Below are 22,959 nucleotides of genomic sequence, written 5' to 3'. Positions count from 1 at the left end.
CCAAACCTTTGGGATTAAAGGCATGTGCAGTTACACCTGGCCTGAGTTGAAAATTTCAATACAGACTCAAATAAAAGCTTTTCAGTAGCCTGATGTGTCAAAAGGGGACTTAAATGAATTGTTCAGTGATTAACTTAAGTGGCATTTGAAGGAGGACTTTTAACTTTGATTGCCTCTGCATTCAGTCAAAATGACCTGATCAGCTTATGTGACATTCTGCCTTTCAGATCTCCTCACCTGCTATCACTGTTATTAGATACTTTACCCCGAATATCCTCCCATCTCATAGTGGCAAGGCAAGGCCTCACCAGAGATGCTATCTTTTGAACTGTGTATTTTTTTGCAAAAGAAACTTTGAAGAATACTTTAGTAAAAAGCATTTAGTGATTTTTAAATGTATTTTAAGACAGTCTTAGAAATTCTGGAAGATGATAGAATTCAGATTCAGATATGTGGGGATTTGTAGATCAGTTTACAATGATGTATTTTTGTGGTGATTTCTGAGATCAGAGCTGGGTATAGACCAGATTCTCAAGATGAAGCTGTGAACTGAATCAACATCTAGTATCTAGGGGATTGTCAATTACCTTTCAGTCAAGCACTCTTGGATAATTGCAAAGTAAATACATCACCTGGTACCCCCATATGCTCAGGGTCCCCTAGCTCAGAGTTGATGCCATTCTTTCTAATGAGGCTTGAGCTTTTTACCAATTAATTGTATAGCAATCCTTTTTAAGATACTGAAGGCAACGGCATCTTTTGAAACCTTATCTGAGAGACAGTTATTTTATGAAGAGACCATGGCATTCATATCACACTAGCTTCTAGTTATTGCCAGGAACATTGGAAAGATATGTGGAAGCCTTTACTAAATATAAAGTTTCATAAAAATACAAAATACAAGGGTCTATTGTTATAATTTGACAGGCTGTAGTTAATATTTAATTTCAGTCACTTATGGAAGCATGGAAGCCACCTGCCTGGTATGGAGCCCATGAGCTATTATCTACTTGGATCTGTCCCAAGGCTAGGCCTGCAAGGCAGGAAGAAAGGAGGGAATAGACACTGCTCTGGCTGAAGGGTAGCAGCACAGCCTCTCTCCCACCCTATGACTGAATGTGCTGCCACGCAGGACGTACCCAGATGCATTGTGCTCTTTATTTATTTACTGGTTGATGAATTTGTAGCTAAACAATTCCTTCTTTTTAAAATAAACTTTAAATTTTTTTAAACTTTCCATTACTCTGCCAAGATCCCCCGTTGTCATTTTTTTTTCTATAAACCCATAATGTATTTGTAACAGCTGTTTTAAAGTTCTTATCTGCTAATAAAAACAGCTGGGCCACTTATGGGGTAGCTTCTGTTGGTATTCCTTTTCTCTTGATTATGGGTCAGATTTTCCTGCTTCTTTGTCCTGTATTATTTGACTGTATATGGGACACGATGATTGACATGTTGTAGAAACTCTGCATTTTGTTTCTTCCTCTAAAGTTGTTGCGTTTTGTTCTTTTGGGCTGTTAAATTATTGACTAAACATCTTGACCTGTGGATAGATGGTTTTAGGCTGGTGTAGTGTGGGCTGCTTTTTGTTCTGTCCTTAGTCCTAGAGAGCATAGTCCTTAGTACTGGCCTTGTTTCTAAGGTGTGGTCCTTCTTGGGTTTTGTTGGAAAGCCTGATGTCTTCATCAGGCTCCTCTAACTTGATAAGACTTAAAAGCCAAACTATGCATCCCCTGAACTAGGTGGCTGGTAAAATTCCTGCCTTTCAGCTGCTGCTTTCTTCTAAGTCATGGGTCATATTCTTATACATGAACAGTTTACTAGTCAACCAACAATTTGAATAAAATTTTAATGCTGATTTTGTTCTTCCTTTTCTGTGAATTTCTCCTTTCTAGGATTTTTCTGACAACCCAATGTATTTTTTAGTAGCCCACTAAGGCTACCTCTTTGCATCTGAGATGTATTTCACTAGACTCCTTAGCAAATTAGGACAGGCCCTCCGGGGAACAGTGATTAAAGGTGGCAGTCATCTAGTTTGCTTCCCTTCTTTCACATAGCATATCCTCTTTTGTATATGCCTTCTTTTGTTTTATTTCAGTGCATTCAAACTTTTTTTTTAGAAAATATTTTGCCCAGAGTTTATATTAATTATCAGTGGGAGAGTTAGTCTGAAATAAGCTATTCTGTCATTACCATAACAGAATTACATTATACATACACTTGCACAAAGTAAACAGATGCATGTAAGCACTATCCACACAGCACTTTTTAAAAAAAATTATATTAGCTAACATTCATTAAGTGCTTACTTTGTGCTAGATAGTGTGTATGGAGCTTTACTATTACTGAATTATATTTTTAAAAATTAGCACACATTTACAGTAGAAAAACAAGTAAAAAGCATCTCTATGTATCAGTCAAGCAGCTTTAATAATTAGTAACACATAGCTGAACTTGCCTGCACTCACTTCTGTCCCATTATATTATTTTTAAGGAAATTCAAGACTACATATCATTTTATTTGCAAATACTTCAGTACGAGACTCTAAAAGAAAAGTGATTCTGTTTAATTTATTTTTAACTTAAGCAAAATAGTATCAGGCTGAAAAATAACAGTAATTCTTTAGTGTTATCCATATTCAATATTTAATTTTCCCTAATTTTCTGTTCTTTTGACAGTATTTCCCCCTCCACATCTCACAGTCTGATCCATAGGTTATCTTTCCCTTTTATTTTCCTTATAAGTTATTTGTTGAAGAAACTTGCTTGTTCATATCATAGCTATTCCCACATTTTGGATTTTGCTGATAGCATTCTAAGTGGCAGGTAACATTTCTCTGTCCTTGCGTATCTTGTAAACTGATAGAAAGGCATAGGGGGTGAGCAGATTCAGGTTAACTTTTCAGCACACTATTTCATGTTATGTGCTTTCCTTTGCATCACATCAGGAGGCCCATACTGTCTCATTGTCTCTAGCTTGTGATATTAAGATTGATAAGTAGGATCAGGTGTTTTCAGCCCGATTCATATATTGTAGAGCCTCTCAACGGCTTTTGATCCAATTGTTTCAGCAACCGTTAACAGTCATTGCCTAGGGGTTACTTAATTCATCCATGCTTCATTTATTCTTTGTTCATTTATTGAACATATGTATATTCCAAACACTGCTAAGCACCAGTGGCACAAAGAAGTACAAATCGCCCCTGCATATGAGCACCTTACATGTGTCTATTGGCCCATGCTATAGCCATGTCTGTACATGACGCTAAACTTCTTTTATAGCCACAGACTTTTTGAGAATAAGAAATAATACACAATATTTTAGTCATTTGGGATTAGGAATTAGGTTTAAATTTCTATAAAGATATCATTATTCAGTATTAGATGAACTGGGTTTGAGTCCTGATTAGAGGACACTGAATCATCCATAGATTGTGGGACTAGAATTGCAACCAACAATTTTGCCTGAATTATCTTGTGATGAAATAATGCGATGTACACAATCCATTTGGTATTCATATTACACTTTCTACTACCACAAGTCTGTTCTCAATTTGGCATATGCTTAGCTTATAGAGAAGTTTTTATTTTAGTTGCTTTTACATGGATTATTTATTGAACATATTTTCTTTATTATTTATTCTAAAATCTTTTCAAAATTTACTATACACAATTTAGGCATTTAAAAAATATTTTAACTTTTATTTTGGGTTCAGGGATACATGTGCAGGTTTGTTATATGGGTAAACTTGTGGCTTGGGGGTTTGGCATACAGATTATTTCGTTACTTGAGTACTAAGCATTTATGCATTGTAAATATAAACTTTTGTTTGGTTAATGTGACTAGTACAAATTATTCACAAATATCTTCTTGAAGCTCATTTTGACTTTCTGAGATTTAACATTTATATTAAAGGTTGAATCAAGGGTCACATAGAACAATAAGTGTTCTAGGAAGCCACAATTTGTATACCTCTTTGAATACCTTATAGGACTTTGCATGCAGATTTCAGCAGATGCATGTAGTCTCCACTGTTTATCTGGCAAGGTCCTGGGTACACTGATGAATGATAGAAAAAATTTCTGTCTCTTCGTGGAACATGCATTCCGGTGCCTCTCTCTGTCACTGTGTTTATTGCAAGTTGAAATTCTCTTCTCTTCCCTAAAGTTGAATTTCTTCTCTTCCCTAAAGCTCCAGATATTCTCTGATATCATGATATACTAATGATAAATAATTTTTGTAATACACTTTATAATACACAAAAAGGGAAAATTGAAATTAATCTGCACAGAGTTATAGAAACATGAACCAGTTAACACGGTATATTTGGAAACTTTAAACTCCTTAGTACATCTAGATTGCATCATAGGCTTGGCCTGGTGGCAAGAAGTGAATTTGAAGTCATAGAAGACCTTGACTGTTTCTCAAAAGACTTTGGAGACAAAAATAATTTGAGCCCTTTTATAAACAATATAAAGACTTTATATTCTCTTTCACAGAAGACCTTGACTGTTTCTCAAAAGACATTGGAGACAAAAATAATTTGAGCCCTTTTATAAAAAAAATAAAGACCTTATATTATTTTTCTATTCCAAAATGACTAGCTGCTAGTGTGGTGTGCAGGACAGTGCATTGTCTTTACTCTGAGAAGGCCAGTCTCCAACCCAGCCCATGACATGTGGCTGCTACCATGTCAGGCACTTCCCTAGATCTTGCTGCATCCAAGATGGTGCTCTCCAGCCCCAACCCAGACTACACAGCCAGGTGCTGGAACTCTTGGGATTTGCCCTCCACTCAGCTCAAGCTTCTCTCATGGCCGAGAGAACAATGAAGGTGTGTTACTTTGGTCAAGGCAATCAGGCTTCCTGATGCTCAGTTTGGTTATCACCGAAGAGAACATAAGAAATATATGTGGATTATTTCCGCCCACAGGGTTCTGGTGGATCTCCACTGCTCCATCCCCTCTGCTTGGTGAGGACAGGTGGCTCTGCCATAGCTCTGTTGCTTGGTGACCTGCAGGTGCCAGAAGATCCATAAGGAGAATTCCAGGAAATGGAGTTTTATCAATTTATATTAAAATACTGACCAAGAGACTGGACCATCAAGAAGATTGGCACACGTTGAGCAGGTCTTCATAACTAAGTCCTTGAGAGCTGACAGAGAGAGGATGCAGACCCTGGGCCAAAGAGGGAGGAAACTGGGGATCCTATATGGGGCTGCTGAGTACAAGGACTCATTCCCAGCCCCCAGTGCCTCTTAGGGAAAGACTGAGTTGAATAGGGGAGGAATGGCCCACTCTTACCGCAGACTTCTGAAATCCTCACTGCAGGAGACCCCACGACCCCCATGGACATTTGGGCTCGCAGGAAAAACTGCTTGGAGAAGTGGCAGGAACTGGACTCTAGCCTGTGTGGAGCCCAGAGAGTTTGATGTGGGAATGGCTGCAATGTAGCACAGCTATGTATGCCCATCTACCAAGGCCTGCCATGCTCCTCCAGGTGGTTTTGGCCTTTCTTATCCAGTAGACCTGGACAGAGCAGGGCTGTCTTGCCTTGGGATGGGGCCAGTCTGATCTGAGTGCCCTGCTGTCTGCCGGCCCCTTCCAGGGTCCCTTTCTGGCTGCGTGGCCTTGGATGCCCAACCAGGCCACATCCCAGCAGCTGCCGTCATTGTTCTGTCACTGGCAGACCCCAATTTACCATCAGAGAGCTCCAGCAGACAGACCTCATCACCGCACACCCACTCACAGCCTCCATCACCACTTTGCTCACATGAACTCACCTGTGGCCTCCCCCTACCACTTTGCTGGCATGCACATGCCTGGACTTTGCTGCCTCACTGTCAGTGGAATGTACATGTGCACAAACCCTACTGCCCTGCTGCCAGTGGTGTAAGTGTGTGCACAGATCCTGCCATGCCACTGCCTGGCTGCTGCTGGCACATGCACATAAGCATTGACCCCCTGCTGCCAAGGCCCAGTGAAGTGCTTTGCTGGCATTCCCTACTAGAGTGTTGTTGCCAATTGATCAGGAATATCTCAGTCTCTCCACTGCAGCAGCTGCTTAACCTTGAGGGACAAGAGAACAAAGCTGTGGGCCTGGACCCAGCCCCCTAGCATGCAGCCCAGGAGTTACAGCATGCAGCCCGGGAGTACTGAGCTGAGTCTGGGCCCCCCAATATCATCCAGAAATGAAGCCAGTAGACTGAAACTAAAATCAAACCCCAATGGCATAAAATAATATAAAAGCAAAGATCCCCTTCCAGAGGACAACAACTTCAAAGATTAAAGAAATATCAGTTTACACAGATGAGAAAGAACCAGGGCAAGAAATCTGGCAACTCAAAAAGCCAGTGTCTTCTTTCCTCTAAACAACTGCACTAGCACCCCAGTAATGGTTATTAACCAGGCTGAAATGGTTGAAATGATATATTTAGAATTCAGAATTTGGATGGCAACGAAAATCATCGAGATTCAGGAGAAAGTTGAAACCCAATCCAAGGGATTTGAGGAATCCAGTAAAATGATACAAGAGGTGAAAGATGAAATAGCCATTTTAGGAAAGAACCTAACTAAACTGATATAGCTGAAAAACTCACTACAAGAATTTCATAATACGACTCTGGAAGTATTAACAGCAGAACAGGCCAAGCTGAGGAAAGCATCTCAGAGCTTGAAGATGGGTTCTTTGAATCAACTCAGTCAGACAAAAATGAAGAAAGAAAAGTAAGAATGAACAAAATCTCCAAGAAATATGAGATTATGTAGAGAGACTGATTAAACTTGTAACTTATTGTCATCCCTGAAAGAGAGGGAAAGAAAACAAGCAACTTTGAAAATATATTTGAGGATGTTGTCCTTGGAAACTTCCCCAATCTCACTGGAGAGGTCAACATTCAAATTGAGGGAATTCAGAGAACCCCAGCATGATACTTACAAGATGACCATTCCCAATACACATAATTATCAGATTCTCCAAGGTCAACATAAAAGAATAAACATTAAAGGCAGCTAGAGGGAAGGGGCAGGCCACCTACAAAGGGAACCTCATCAGACTAACAGTGGACCTTTCAGCAGAAACTTTACAAGCCAGAAGGGAATGGGGGCCCATATTCAGCATTCTTAAAGAAAATAAATTCCAACCAAGAATTTCATATCCAGCCAAACTAAGCTTAATAAGTGAAGGAGAAATAAAATCCTTTTCAGACAAGCAAATGCTAAGGGAATTTGTCACTACCAGACCTGCCTAACAAGAGGTCCTTAAGGGAATGCTAAACATGGAAACAAAAGACCATTACTGGCCACCACAAAACACTCTTATGTATATAGACCATTGACACTAAAGCAACTACCTAATCAAGTCTGCATAAACACTAGCTAACAATGTGATGACAGGATAAAATTTGAACATATCCATATTAACCTTGAATGTAAATAAGCTTAACACTCCACTTAAAAGGCAAGGAGTGGAGCGGAGTGGAAAGTTGTATAAAGAAGAAACACCCAACTGTATGTTGTCTTCAAGAGATCCATTTCACATGCAATGATGCTCATAGGCTCAAAGTAAAGGGATGGAAAAAAATCTACCAAGCAAATGGTAAACAAAAAAGCAGGGGTTGCTCTTTTAATTTCAGGCAAAAGAGACTTTAAACCTTTTGAAAACAACAGTGATAATAAAAGACAAAGAGGGAGTCTTAGAGACCTGCAAAGAGATTTAGATAACCACACAATAATAGTGGGAGACTTCAACAGCCCACTGACAATATTAATACTAAAACAGTATTAACACGAATACCAAGACAGTATTAATACAAATACCAAGTATTAATCATACTAAGAATCATTGAGGCAGAACACTAACAAAGATATTTGGGACCTAAACTTGACATTTGATGAAATGGACTTAACAGACATCTACAGAACACTCCACCCAACAACAACAGAATATACATTCTTCTCGTTTACATATGGCACATACTCTAAAATTAACTACATAGTAAACCACAAAGCAATACTCAACAAATTTAAAAAAAAATCATACCAATGACACTCTTGCACTGCAGGGCAATAAAAATAGACATTAATACTAAGAAAGTCTCTCAAAACCATACAACTACATGGACGTTAAACAATCTGCTCCTGAATGACTTCTAGGTAAACAATGAAATTAAGACAGAAATGAAGAAATTCTTTAAAAATAATGAAAACAAATATACAACCTACCAGAATCTCTGGGACACAGCTAAAACAGTTTCAAGAGGAAAGTTTAGAGTGCTAAATATCAATCATTAGACACAATAGGGTTATAGCCAACAATACTTTTAGGAGCCCACAAGAAATTTTAAACTTTTTTAAAACCAGAAGAAAAAATAAGCTTTTAGGTTGAAATAATTATTTTAATACATTCATCTTTATATCAAGATAGACACAAAATATTATTTTGTCACAATAAAGATGTATATTGATATTTTCACAGAGAAAGAGACTCACAAAGGTAAAAGTACCAAGGGCCCACAAAAGCAATAATGCTGCCATGCTTTGGTATTATGACAGATTCTGTAACTGTTAGCACCAAGGCCATTTACAGCCACCTTTTCCCTGATTTCCTCTACTAGAAATGCTGGAAAACTAGAAGATTCATCTTTCCAGATTGCAGTTAGGAATGGCATATATCCTGGCCGGGTGCAGTGGCTCACACCTGTAATCCCAGCAATTTGGGAGGCCGAGGTGGGTGGATCACCTGAGGTCGGGAGTTTGAGACCAGCCTGACCAACATGGAGAAACCCCGTCTCTACTAAAAATACAAAAAATTAGCTGGGCGTGGTGGTGCATGCCTGTAATCCCAGCTCCTCGGGAGGCTGAGGCAGGAGAGTCGTTTGAACCTGGGAAGCAGAGGTTGCAGTGAGCCGAGATTGTGTCATTACACTCCAGCCTGGGCAGCAAAAGCGAAACTCCATCTCAAAACAAACAAACAAGCAAACAAACAAACAGAATGGCATATATCCAGTTCCAGCTAGTAAGACAGAAAAACAACTCACTAAGTAGCACCTCTGAAAAACCATTTTACAAGTGATTAAAATGTTCCCTTTGCTTAGGAAAATAGCTGACCCATGGTAAGCACGCTATAAATAATAGTAATAATAATAATAGCAATAATAATTTTGACCACAAAAAGATCATAACGTAGAACAAAATGATGACTGCTGATATTAATTTCCCATTTCCTACTTATTCCCTGGTTTAAAAAGTATTGGCTAGAATGGAAACTATAATGGTCAGATAAATCTAGATGATAGCATGCCCTAGAAGCTAGCAGAAAGTGCCAATGGTAACTTGTCACATTGCAAGCCCCCAAGTGAATGGTTGGTCCCTCTCAGAGGTAGGTGTTTCATGGCAAGGATTAAAGCTATTAATTATAGGATATTTGGACAGTGGTGAAACCCAGAGGACTGAATTATGTGATGGTTTACAGATTTTTCAAATTGTTGCTGTTCAGAATTTATGTGGGTGTTTGTGATATATGCTATCCAATCTTTCTCAATTTTGTGTGGTGAGGGGGCCTGGCTACTGATGCTGTTAAAGTGGTTAGTGGCAGTGGAATATATCATCTAGCTCTAGTCCACAAAATCTAAAATTCCTTAAAATGTTTTTGATTGGCTGCGCAATGCCTATATGATTTCATCCTTTCCCAACTTCTTCTCCCACTTTCCAATCCTCTTTCTTTTTTATCTAGACTACACTTTTCACTTTACTCCAATGTCCAAAGCATTTGTGATTCCCATTACTTACATAAGGACTCTGACATCCTCAATTTATAATTCAGATATTTCCACAATTAAGTCCCAGTCTAATTCTATCTTTCATTTTGCCTTTACATGTGTTTCCTCTGCAACTTCTGAAAGAACCATGAGTGCACCTGCTATGTCATGCTGTTTGAAATCTCCTTCTCAAATACTTAATTTCCATTTATGTCTTACTGATTATTTTGGGTTCAATTTGAGTCACTTCTCCACTCTTGAAATATTCTCAGGCTACAGTGGTTTTTTTCCTTTTTTGAACTATTTTGGCTTTCCCCCTAATTTTATGATCTATATAACCTCACCTAAGAAGCTAATGCATATACGCTTCTTAACATAGTATAGGAAAGGAAAGAAAAAAAAGGAACTGCCTTAAAATGTCATGAAATTTTGAATATGTATATTTTGAATCTCTTTAGTGAGAATATAAATTTTTTTAAAGAGGTTTTATTATCTCGTTTTTCTCCTGTACCTCATAGTGCACAATACTGTGGGATACATATTTGCTAGATAACACATGAACACTCAAGGATAGTGGTTATTCACATGGTTTTCTGGGATCTCTTGAGAATACTTCTGAGAGATCTGAAAGTTCAAAATTATTTTCATAATAATGCTGAAATATCAATGCCCTTCATACTTATAACAAGTGTATTATTGTGGAGTTTTTCCAGAGGCTACATAACCAGAGATGTTGTAGAAGATTAAAGGTATAAGCAAATATGAGAAGCTCATTGTCTTCTTTCTATTAGCTAAACATTTAAGAGATTGGTAAAAATGGAAAATACTACTTTCTCCCTAAATTTTTGGTTTTAAATAAAATATGTCATTAATAGTGAACAGGTAATGGTTTATTATGGTTATTTTAAAATGAGTAAGTAAATATTGTTTAATTTTTCAATTTAATCAATATAAATTATAGTAAATATTGGCAGATATAATCCATATCCATAAAAGTTCTTCAGAGACCCTTGTCATTTCTTTTCGAAAAACTTTTGAAATCAATCTTTCTACATCCTTTCCTCCTTTGTATCCTTCCCCTACATATGAGTGAGAACATTCAATATTTGTCTTTCTGTGCTTGGCTTATTATCACTTAACAAAATAAGCTCAGAATTTAATTCTTTCTTATGGCTAAAATAGTATTTCACTGTGCATGTACCACATTTTCTTTATCCATTTGCCTGTTGTTGATGAACAGTTAGGTAGATTCCATATCTTGGATATTATGAACAGTGCTGCAATAAATATGGGAGTGCAGATATCTCTGCAATTTTTTGATTTATTTTCTTTTGGATATAAACCCAGGATCGGAATAGCTGGATCATATGGCAGTTCTGTTTATAGTTTTTTGAAGAATCTCCATACTGTTCTCCACAGTGACTGTATTAATTTACATCCCCTCCAACAGCATATGAAGATTCTCCTTTCTCCATATCCTGACTAGCTTCTGTTATTTCCTTTCTTTTCGATCAAAGTTATTCTGAATGGGGTGAGATGGTATCTCATTGTGGTTTCAATTTGCATTTCTTTGATGATTGGTGATTTGGGGCATTTTTTCATATACTTGTTAGCCATTTGTCTTCTTTTGAGCAACATCTATTCAGATTTTTTGCCCATTTTAAAATTAAATAATTACTTTTTTTGTTATTGAGTTGAGTTCCTGATATATTCTAGTTATTAATCAATTTTCAGATGGATACTTTGCAAATTTTATTTCACATTGTGTGCGTTCTCTCTTCACTTTGTTTATTGTTTCCTTCTGCTATGCAGAAGCTTTTAGCTTGATGTAATCCCATTTGTCTATTTTTGCTTTGGTTGCCTGTGCTTTTGAGGTCTTACACAAAATAATTCACCCAGACCAATGTCCACTAGCATTGTTTTCATCTAGTAGTTTCATAGTTTCAGATCTTAGATTTCAGTCTTTAATCCATTTTGATTTGATTTTTTTGTATGTGGTGAGAGATAGGGGTCTAGTTTCATTCTTCTGAGTATGGATATACAGATTTCCCAACACAATTTATTAAAGCTACTGTCTTTTCCTTGATGTATGTTTGTGATGTCTTCATAAAAAATGAGTTAGCTGTAAATGCATGGAATTATATTTGGGCCCTCTATTCTGTTCCATTGTTTCTGATTTTATGCCAGTCCACGTTTCTGATTTTGTGCCAGTAGCATGCTAATTTGGTTACCATAGCTTAGTAGTGTATTTTATAAAATAAAGTCAGGTAGTGTGATGTTCTTTTGTTCTTTTTGCTTAGGATTACTGCGGCTACATGGGGTCTTTTGTAGTTTCATATAAATTTTAGTTTATCTATTTCTGTGAAGAGTGTTATTTGTATTTTGATAGGGATTACATAGAATCTGCAATTGTTTTGGGTAGAATTGTTGTTTTAGCAATATTAGTTCTTCCATTTCATAAGCTGGGCATATCTTTCCATTTTTTTGTGTTTTTTTCAATTTCTTTTATCAGTATTCTATAGTTTTCCAAGAGGAAAAACTTATTTATAAAAATAAATCTTTCATCTCCAGTTAAATTGATTCCTGGGTATTATATATTTTTGTATCTATTGTAATTAAGATTGCTTGCATTATTTCTTTTGTGGATTATTTGCTGTTGGTGTATATAAATGTCAGTGATTTTTGTTTGTTGATTATTTTATCCTGAAACTTTACTAAATTCATTGGTCAGTTCTAACAATTTCTTGGTGGAGTCTTCAGATTTTTCCAAATGTAAGATCATGCCACCTGTATGCAAGGCTAATTTGAATTCTTCTCTTTCTGACTTGGATGCCCCTCCCCACTTTTTAATTGTTCTGTCCCAAACTTCTGGTATTATGTTGAATAAAAGTGGTGAAAGTCGGTAGGCATCCTTGTCTTATTCGAGATCTTAGAGATAAGGCTTTCAATATTTCCCCATTCAGTATGATGCTGGATGTGGGTTTGTCACATATATGGCCTTTATTATTTTAAGATATATTTCTTCTATACTATATTTTACATATGTATTTATATATACATACATGTACACACTATATATGCTATATCTATATTATTTTAGGGTATTTGCTGCAAAAGTAATTGTGGTTTCTACTATTAAAGGTAACTAAAGGTAAGTAATTGCAAAACTGCAATTACTTTTGCACAGAAGAATATATTCCTTCTAAGGTATATTCCTTTGTTGAGGGTTTTTATCATAAAGCAGGGAGCTAAATTTTATCAAATGCTTTCTCAGCATTCTACAGAAATGATCATATGGTTTTTGTTCTTTGTTCTTTTAATGCAATGTGTCATATTTATTGATTTGCCTATGTTGAAACATCCTTGCATCCCTGGGATGAATCCTATTTGATCATATTGAAAGACCTTTTTAATGTATTTCTGAATTCAGTTAGCTAGTAGTTTATTGAGGACTTTTGCATCTGTGTTCATCAGTGATATTGGCCTGTATTTTTCTTTTTGTTGTGTCTTTGTCTGGTTTTGGTATCAGGGTAATGCTGGCCTCACAGAATGAGTCTGAAAGTATTCATTCCTCCTCACTTTTTTTTTTTTTTTTGAAGAGTTTGAGTAGAATTGATATTAGTTATCCTTTAAACATTTGGTAGAATTCAGCAGTGAAGACAACAAGTCCTGGGATTTTCTTTGATGGGTGACATTTTCTTATGACTTCAATTTATTGATTTGTTGAGGTTTTCTATTTCTTCATGGTTTAGTTTTGGTAGTTTATATGTGTCCAGGAATACATTCAATTCTTCTAGGTTTTTCAACGTATTGGTATACTGTTTTTCATAATAGTCTGTAATAATTCTTTATATTTCTATAATCTCAGTGGTTATGTCCCCTTTTAATTTCTAATTTTATTTATTTGGGTCTTCTCTTTTATTCTTAGCTGAGCTAAAGTTTTGCCTATTTTTTTTCCAAAAATCTATGTGTTTCATCCATCTTCTGTTTCTTTGATCTAACTTTTTGTTTCATTGATTTTGTTTTTTTTTAGTTGCAATGTTATTTATTTCTGTCCTGATCTTTATTATTTCTTTTCTCCTACTAATTTTATGTTTGCTTTGTTCTTGCTTTTCTAGTCCTTCAAGGTGCATCATTAGTTTACTTGAGTTTTTTCAACTTCTTTTTGATATAGGCATTTATTGCTACAAACTTTGCTCTTAGTACGCTTTTGCTGTATCCCATAGATTTTGAAATGTACTTACATTTTTATTTGTTTCAAAAGAGTTTTATATTTTCTTCTTAGTTTATTCACTGACCATATTGGTCATTTAGGAGCATGTCAATATCCATGTGTTTGTGTACTATCTGAGCTTCCTCTTTTTATTGATTTCTAGTATTATTCCACTGTGGTCAGAAAGATATTTGATTTTGTTTCTAACTTTTTGAACTTGTTGAAACTTGTTTTGTGGCCTAAAATATCATCTATTCTGGAGAATATCCCATGTGCTGATGAAAATAATGTATATTCATCAGCAGTTGGATCAACTGTTCTGTAAATGTCAGTTAGGCCTTTTTATTTTAGTATAGTTTAATGTCAATGGTTTTTTGGATTTTCTTTCTAGATGATCTGTTCATTACTAAGAGTAGGGGTGTTAAAGTTTCCTACTAGTATATTATTATATTGCAGTCTATCTATCCCTTTAGATATATTAATGTTTGCTTTATATACTTGGGTACTCTGCTGTTGAGTGCATAGATATTTACAATTGTTATCTTCCATTCTGTATTGACTCTTTTATCTTTATAAGACCTTCTTTGTCTCTTTTTACAGTCTTTTCTGGTCATCTATTTTATCTCATGTAAGTATAGCAACTGCTGCTCTTTTTGGTTTCCATTCACATGAAATATCTTTTTTTTCCTACACTTTCAATCTAGGTGTGATTTTATAGGTGAGGTTTCCTATAGGCAGAATTTAGTTGGATCTTGCTTTTTTATTCATTTAGTCACTCTATATTTTTAATTGGAAAATTGAGTCCATTTACATTCAGCATTATTATTGATAAGTAAGGCCTTACTACTGCCATTTCATTGCTTGTTTTCTGGTTGTGTTGTAGCTCCTCTCTCTCTTTCTTCCTGTCATCTTTTGTTGTTAATTGATTTTTTTACTTGTAGTATGTTTTAATTTGTTGATTTTTACTTTTAATGTATCTATTATAGGTTTTTGCATTGTGGTTACCATGAAGCTTATGTGAAATATCTTATAGATATAACAAATTATTTTAAAGAGATGACAACTTGTATTAGATAACACAAAAAAGAGTAAAAACAAGCAAACAAATAAAAAACTAAAAACAATCTTTATATTTTGACTCTATCATCCCACATTTTGATTTTGGTTGTCTCAATTTACATTTTTTATTGCCTATCTCTTAAGTTTCTGGAGCTAATATTATTTTATATGTATTTATCTTTTAGGCTTCATGCTAGAGTTATGGGTGGATTGCACACTAAAATTACAGAATTGGAGTATTCTGGGGATGATTTTGTACTTAATTTTACCAGTGGATTTTGTACCTTTAAATATTTTCTTTTTTCGCATTAGTATTTTTTTTTTGTTCAGATTGAAGAGTTCCCTTTACCATTTTTTGTGAGGTAAGTCTGGTGGTGATGAATTCTCTTAGCTTTTGTTTGCCTAGGAAAGACTTTGTGACTCCTTATTTGAATGATAGCTTTGCTGGATAAAGTGTTTTTGAATGGCAGGTTTTGTTTTTTGTTTTTTGTTTTTTGTTTTCTTTTCAACACTTTGAAAATATTCTGCTCCCTCCTGGCCTGTGTGGTTTCCACTGAGAAGTCTGTCATCAGATGATTGGCATTTCTTTACATGTTGTTTGCTTTTTTTCTCCTGCTGCTTTTTAGGATCCTCTCATTGTCTTTGGCCTTCGAGAGTTTAATTATTATATGTCTTGGCGTAGTCCTATTTGATGTTCTCTGTCCTTCCTATACGTGAACTTTTATTTCTTTCTCAAGTTTTGGAAACTTTTCTGTTATTATTTTTTGAGTAAGTGTTCTACCTTGTTCTTTTGCTCAGCTGCCTTTTGAATACTAGTAATTCTTAGATTTTGTCTTTTGAGGTAATTTTCTATATCTTATAGGTAGTCTTTATTCCTTTTGACTTTATTTTTTTGTTATTTCTCCTGTGACTGTGTACTTCTAAACAGCCTGTCTTTGGGAGCACTGATTCTTTCCTCTGCTTGGTACATTCTGCTGTAAAGAGCCTTCAATGAATTTTTGAATTCAGCAAATGTGTTTCTCAGTTCCAAGATTTTTGTTTGATCTTTTGTTATTATTTCAATCTCCTTGTAAAATTTATCTGATAAATTTATAAATTGCTTTTATGTGTTATCTTGGAGAGCACTAAGTTTCTTTCAAACTCCTATTTTGAATTATTGGACAGAGAGCTCATGTAACAGTCTTGTTAGGGTCAGTCACTGGTTCCTTGCTTTGTCTGTTTGGAGAGGTCATGGTTTCCTTTTCGCTGTTTTTTTTTTGTGTGTGTGTGTGTGAATGTACATCTATGTCTTTGCATTTAACAGTTATTCATTCCAGTTTTCTCTGCCTGGCTTGTTTTGGTTTTTATTGGCTATGTTTACTTAGAGATTCTTCATAATTTACCTGTTGAATTTCTTATACTTTTTTCCGCTAGGTCAGTGCCTCCTTTTCAGCACTAGATGGCACTTTAAGCCCATGTTTGCCTTTGCTCTAGCAAATTATCAGAGACTGATCATCAGAAATAGGGGAGGTCCCAAAGGGGATATCCTGGCAGTGTGGAACGGCTGGCTGTAATTTGTGCTCAGGGGCCCCGTGGAATGTACCTCCTACAGCATGGTACTGCTAAGCAGCCACTCCGATTTGGCATGTCATTTGGCTGAATTACAGAGCAGTTTCTAGCATTCAGGATGTTAGTCCTGCCTCTCTACTTTGTCTTTGGCTGTCCTCAGAGATGTTTCTCCTTTTAGGCACTCACCATGCTTCCCACAGTTTGAGGTAGGGACAGGTCTCCTGTCAGGGAACATAAGAAAGTAGAGAAGCTGACTGTCAACCTCAGTCTCACTTTCTCCAGTGTGGAAACTGAGAGTCAATCAACATTTTCCACATACTTGGGGCAGGGCAGATTCCAGGGAGGGGTGTCATTGTCATGAATATATGGCTCTCTTACCGTCTGCTGGAGTTTTTTTTACTTCTCTTTGGCTCCAGGAACTGATTCATCCTCATATTTGTGTTCTAGGATATTGCTGGTGATCATCTTGGTGCTATATATTTGTTTTTGGTTTTCTGTAAAAGGGAGCGAAGCCAGCTTGTTTCTATGCCACCATTTTCGAATTGGAATTATGACTATAGGGCACCACAGTCTTGAACTCCTGGGCTCAAGTGATCTTTTTTTTTTTTTGTCTGATATATTTTAAAAAATTTTTTATTTTATTATTATTACACTTTAAGTTTTAGGGTACATGTGCACAATGTGCAGGTTAGTTACATATGTATACATGTGCCATGCTGGTGTGCTGCACCCATTAACTCGTCATTTAGCATTAGGTATATCTCCTAATGCTATCCCACCCCCTTCACCCTACCCCACAACAGTCCCCGGTGTGTGATGTTCCCCTTCCTGTGTCCATGTGTTCTCATTGTTCAATTCCCACCTATGAGTGAGAACATGTGGTGTTTGGTTTTTTGTTCCTGCGATAGTTTACTGAGAATGATGATTTCCAATTTCATCCATGTCCCTACAAAGGACATGAACTCATCATTTTTTATGGCTGCATAGTATTCCATGGTGTATATGTGCCACATTTTCTTAATCTAGCCTATCATTGTTGGACATTTGGGTTGGTTCCAAGTCTTTCCTATTGTGAATAGTGCCGCAATAAACATACGTGTGCATGAGTCCTTATAGCAGCATGATTTATAGTCTTTTGGGTATATACCCAGTAATGGGATGGCTGGGTCAAATGGTATTTCTAGTTCTAGATCTCTGAGAAATCGCCACACTGACTTCCACAATGGTTGAACTAGTTTACAGTCCCACCAACAGTGTAAAAGTGTTCCTATTTCTCCACATCCTCTCCAGCACCTGTTGTTTCCTGACTTTTGAATGATCGCCATTCTAACTGGTGTGAGATGATATCTCATTGTGGTTTTAATTTGCATTTCTCTGATGGCCGGTGATGGTGAGCATTTTTTCATGTGTTTTTTGGCTGCATAAATGTCTTCTTTTGAGAAGTGTCTGTTCATGTCCTTTGCCCATTTTTTGATGGGGTTGTTTGCTTTTTCCCTTATAAATTTGTTTGAGTTCATCGTAGATTCTGGATATTAGCCCTTTGTCAGATGAGTAGGTTGCGAAAATTTTCTCCCATTTTGTAGGTTGCCTGTTCACTCTGATGGTAGTTTCTTTTGCTGTGCAGAGGCTCTTTAATTTAATTAGATCCCATTTGTCAATTTTGGCTTTTGTTGCCATTGCTTTTGGTGTTTTAGACATGAAGTCCTTACCCATGCCTATGTTCTGAATGGTAATGCCTAGGTTTTCTTCTAGGGTTTTTGTGGTTTTAGGTCTAACATGTAAGTCTTTAATCCTTCTTGAATTAATTTTTGTATAAGGTGTAAGGAAGGGATCCAGTTTCAGCTTTCTACATATGGCTAGCCAGTTTTCCCAGCACCATTTATTAAATAGGGAATCCTTTCCCCATTGTTTGTTTTTCTCAGGTTTGTCAAAGATCAGATAGTTGTAGATATGTGGTGTTATTTCTGGGTGCTCTGTTCTGTTCCATTGATCTATATCTCTGTTTTGTTACCAGTATCATGCTGTTTTGCTTACTGTAGCCTTGTAGTATAGTTTGAAGTCAGGTAGTGTGATGCCTCCAGCTTTGTTCTTTTGGCTTAGGATTGACTTGGTGATGCGGGCTGCTTTTTGGTTCCATATGAACTTTAAAGTAGTTTTTTCCAGTTCTGTGAAGAAAGTCATTGGTATCTTGATGGGGATGGCATTGAATCTATAAATTCCCTTGGGCAGTATGGCCATTTTCATGATATTGACTCTTCCTACCCATGAGCATGGAATGTTCTTCCATTTCTTTGTATCCTCTTTTATTTCATTGAGCAGTGGTTTGTAGTTCTCCTTGAAGAGATCCTTCATGTCCCTTGTAAGTTGGATTCCTAGGTATTTTATTCTCTTTGAAGCAATTGTGAATGGGAGTTCACTCCTGATTTGGCTCTCTGTTTGTCTGTTATTGGTGTATAAGAATACTTGTGATTTTTGTACATTGATTTTGTATCCTGAGACTTTGCTGAAGTTGCTTATCAGCTTAAGGAGATTTGGGCTGAGACAATGGGGTTTTCTAGATGTACAATCATGTCATCTGCCAACAGGGACAATTTGACTTCCTCTTTTCCTAATTGAATACCCTTTATTTCCTTCTCCTGCCTAATTGCCCTGGCCAGAACTTCCAACACTATGTTGAATAGGAGTGGTGAGAGAGGGCATCCCTGTCTTGTGTCAGTTTTCCAAGGGAATGCTTCCAGTTTTTGCCCATTCAGTATGATATTGGCTGTGGGTTTGTCATAGATAGCTCTTATTATTTTGAGATACGTCCCATCAATACCTAATTTATTGAGAGTTTTTAGCATGAAGGGTTGTTGAATTTTGTCAAAGGCCTTTCCTGCATCTATTGAGATAATCATGTGGTTTTTGTCTTTGGTTCTGTTTATATGCTGGATTACATTTATTGATTTGCATATGTTGAACCAGCCTTGCATCCCAGGGATGAAACCCACTTGATCATGGTGGATAAGCTTTTTGATGTGCTGCTGGATTCGTTTTGCCAGTATTTTATTGAGGATTTTTGCATCAATGTTCATCAAGGATATTGGTCTAAAACTCTCTTTTTTGGTTGTATCTCTGCCCGGCTTTGGTATCAGGATGATGCTGGCCTCATAAAATGAGTTAGGGAGGATTCCCTCTTTTTCTATTGATTGGGATAGTTTCAGAAGGAATGGTACCAGTTCCTCCTTGTACCTCTGGTAGAATTCGGCTGTGAATCCATCTGGTCCTGGACTCTTTTTGGTTGGTAAGCTGTTGATTATTGCCACAATTTCAGAGCCTGTTATTGGTCTATTCAGAGATTCAACTTCTTCTTGGTTTAGTCTTGGGAGGGTGTATGTGTCGAGAAATTTATCCATTTCTTCTAGATTTTCTAGTTTATTTGCGTAGAGGTGTTTGTAGTATTCTCTGATGGTAGTTTGTATTTCTGTGGGATCGGTGGTGATATCCCCTTTATCATTTTTTATTGCGTCTATTTGATTTTTCTCTCTTTTCTTCTTTATTAGTCTTGCTAGCAGTCTATCCATTTTGTTGATCCTTTCAAAAAGCAGCTCCTGGATTCATTAATTTTTTGAAGGGTTTTTTGTGTCTCTGTTTCCTTCAGTTCTGCTCTGATTTTAGTTATTTCTTGCCTTCTGCTAGCTTTTGAATGTGTTTGCTCTTGCTTTTCTAGTTCTTTTAATTGTGATGTTAGGGTGCCAATTTTGGATTTTTCCTGCTTTCTCTTGTGGGCATTTAGTGCTGTAAATTTCCCTCTACACACTGCTTTGAATGTGTCCCATAGATTCTGGTATGTTGTGTCTTTGTTCTCGTTGGTTTCAAAGACCATCTTTATTTCTGCCTTCATTTCATCAGGTACCCCGTAGTCATTCAGGAGCAGATTGTTCAGTTTCCATGTAGTTGAGTGGTTTTGAGTGAGTTTCTTAATCCTGAATTCTAGTTTGATTGCACTGTGGTCTGAGAGACAGTTTGTTATAATTTCTGTTCTTTTACATTTGCTGAGGAGAGCTTTACTTCCAAGTATGTGGTCAATTTTGGAATAGGTGTGGTGTGGTGCTGAAAAAAATATATATTCTGTTGATTTGGGGTGGAGAGTTCTGTAGATGTCTATTAGGTTTGCTTGGTGCAGAGCTGAGTTCAATTCCTGGGTATCCTTTTTAACTTTCTGTCTCGTTGATCTGTCTAATGTTGACAGTGGGGTGTTAAAGGCTCCCATTATTATTGTGTGGGAGTCTAAGTCTCTTTGTAGGTCATTCAGGACTTGCTTTATGAATCTGGGTGCTCCTGTATTGGGTGCATATATATTTAGGATAGTTAGCTCTTCTTGTTGAATTGATCCCTTTACCATTATGTAATGGCCTTCTTTGTCTCTTTTGATCTTTGTTGGTTTAAAGTCTGTTTTATCAGAGACTAGGATTGCAACCCCTGCCTTTTTTTGTTTTCTATTTGCTTGGTAGATCTTCCTCCATCCTTTTATTTTGAGCCTATGTGTGTCTCTGCACGTGAGATGGGTTTCCTGAATACAACACACTGACGGATCTTGACTGTTTATCCAATTTGCCAGTCTGTGTCTTTTAATTGGAGCATTTAGTCCATTACAGTTAAAGTTAATATTGTTATGTGTGAATTTGATCCTGTCATTATGATGTTAGCTGGTGATTTTGCTCGTTAGTTGATGCAGTTTCTTCCTAGCCTCGATGGTCTTTACAGTTTGGCATGGTTTTTCAGTGGCTGGTACCGGTTGTTCCTTTCCATGTTTAGCGCTTCCTTCAGGAGCTCTTTTAGGGCAGGCCTGGTGGTGACAAAATCTCTCAGCATTTGCTTGTCTGTAAAGGATTTTATTTCTCCTTCATTTATGAAGCTTAGTTTGGCTGGATATGAAATTCTGGGTTGAAAATTCTTTTCTTTAAGAATGTTGAATATTGGCCCCCACTCTCTTCTGGCTTGTAGAGTTTCTGTCGAGAGATCCGCTGTTAGTCTGATGGGCTTCCCTTTGAGGGTAACCTGACCTTTCTCTCTGGCTGCCCTTAACATTTTTTCCTTCATTTCAACTTTGGAGAATCTGACAATTATGTGTCTTGGAGTTGCTCTTCTTGAGGAGTATCTTTGTGGAGTTCTCTGTATTTCCTGAATTTGAATGTTGGCCTGCCTTGCTAGATTGGGGAAGTTCTTGTGGATATTATCCTGCAGAGTGTTTTCCAACTTGGTTCCATTCTCCCCGTCACTTTCAGGTACACCAATCAGACGTAGATTTGGTCTTTTCACATAGTCCCATATTTCTTGGAGGCTTTGTTTGTTTCTTTTTATTCTTTTTTCTCTAAACTTCCCTTCTCGCTTCATTTCATTCATTTCATCTTCCATCACTGACACCCTTTCTTCCAGTTGATTGCATCGACTCCTAAGGCTTCTGCATTCTTCACGTAGTTCTCGAGCCTTGGCTTTCAGCTCCGTCAGCTCCTTTAAGGACTTCTCTGTATTGGTTATTCTAGTTATACATTTGTCTAAATTTTTTTCAAAGTTTTTAACTTCTTTGCCTTTGGTTTGAATTTCCTCTTGTAGCTCGGAGTAGTTTGATCGTCTGAAGCCTTCTTCTCTCAGCTCGTCAAAGTCATTCTCCATCCAGCTTTGTTCCGTTGCTGGTGAGGAACTGCATTCCTTTGGAGGAGGAGTGGCGCTCTGCTTTTTAGAGATTCCAGTTTTTCTGCTCTGTTTTTTCCCTATCTTTGTGGTTTTATCTACCTTTGGTCTTTGATGATGGTGATGTACAGATGTGTTTTTGGTATGGATGTCCTTTCTGTTTGTTAGTTTTCCTTCTAACAGACAGGACCCTCAGCTGCAGGTCTGTTGGAGTTTGGTAGAGGTCCACTCCAGACCCTCTTTGCCTGGGTAACAGCAGCAGTGGCTGCAGAACAGCGGATTTTCATGTACCGCGAATGCTGCTATCTGATCGTTCCTCTGGAAGTTTTGTCTCAGAGGAGTACCCGGCTGTGTGCGGTGTCAGTCTGCCACTACTGGGGGTGCCTCCCAGTTAGGCTGCTCGGGGGCCAGGGGTCTGGGACCCACTTGAGAAGTCAGTCTGCCCGTTCTCAGATCTCCAGCTGCGTGCTGGGAGAACCACTACTCTCTTCAAAGCTGTCAGACAGGGACATTTAAGTCTGCAGAGGTTACTGCTGTCTTTTTGTTTGTCTGTGCCCTGCCCCCAGAGGTGGAGCCTACAGAGGCAGGCAGGCCTCCTTGCACTGTGGTGGGCTCCACCCAGTTCAAGCTTTCCGGCTGCTTTGTTTACCTAAGCAAGCCTGGGCAATGGCAGGCGCCCCTCCCCCAGCCTCGCTGCCACCTTGCAGTT

At 37.4% G+C, this 22,959-nt stretch overlaps 1 annotated feature.

The window, feature by feature from the left end:
* Positions 16,421–16,715: a silencer, noted in NCBI's record as "tiled region #1674; K562 Repressive non-DNase unmatched - State 13:Ctcf". NCBI's record gives its function as "represses a minimal TATA promoter and a strong SV40 promoter by Sharpr-MPRA in K562 cells {active_cell/tissue: K562}" and the evidence as "EXISTENCE:reporter gene assay evidence [ECO:0000049][PMID:27701403]".

The sequence above is a fragment of the Homo sapiens genome, chromosome 5, assembly GCF_000001405.40.
Source record: "Homo sapiens chromosome 5, GRCh38.p14 Primary Assembly".
Taxonomy (NCBI): Eukaryota; Metazoa; Chordata; class Mammalia; order Primates; family Hominidae; genus Homo; species Homo sapiens.
The sequence above is the reverse complement of the archived record's forward strand: the minus strand, read 5'-3'. Positions and strand labels throughout refer to the sequence as shown.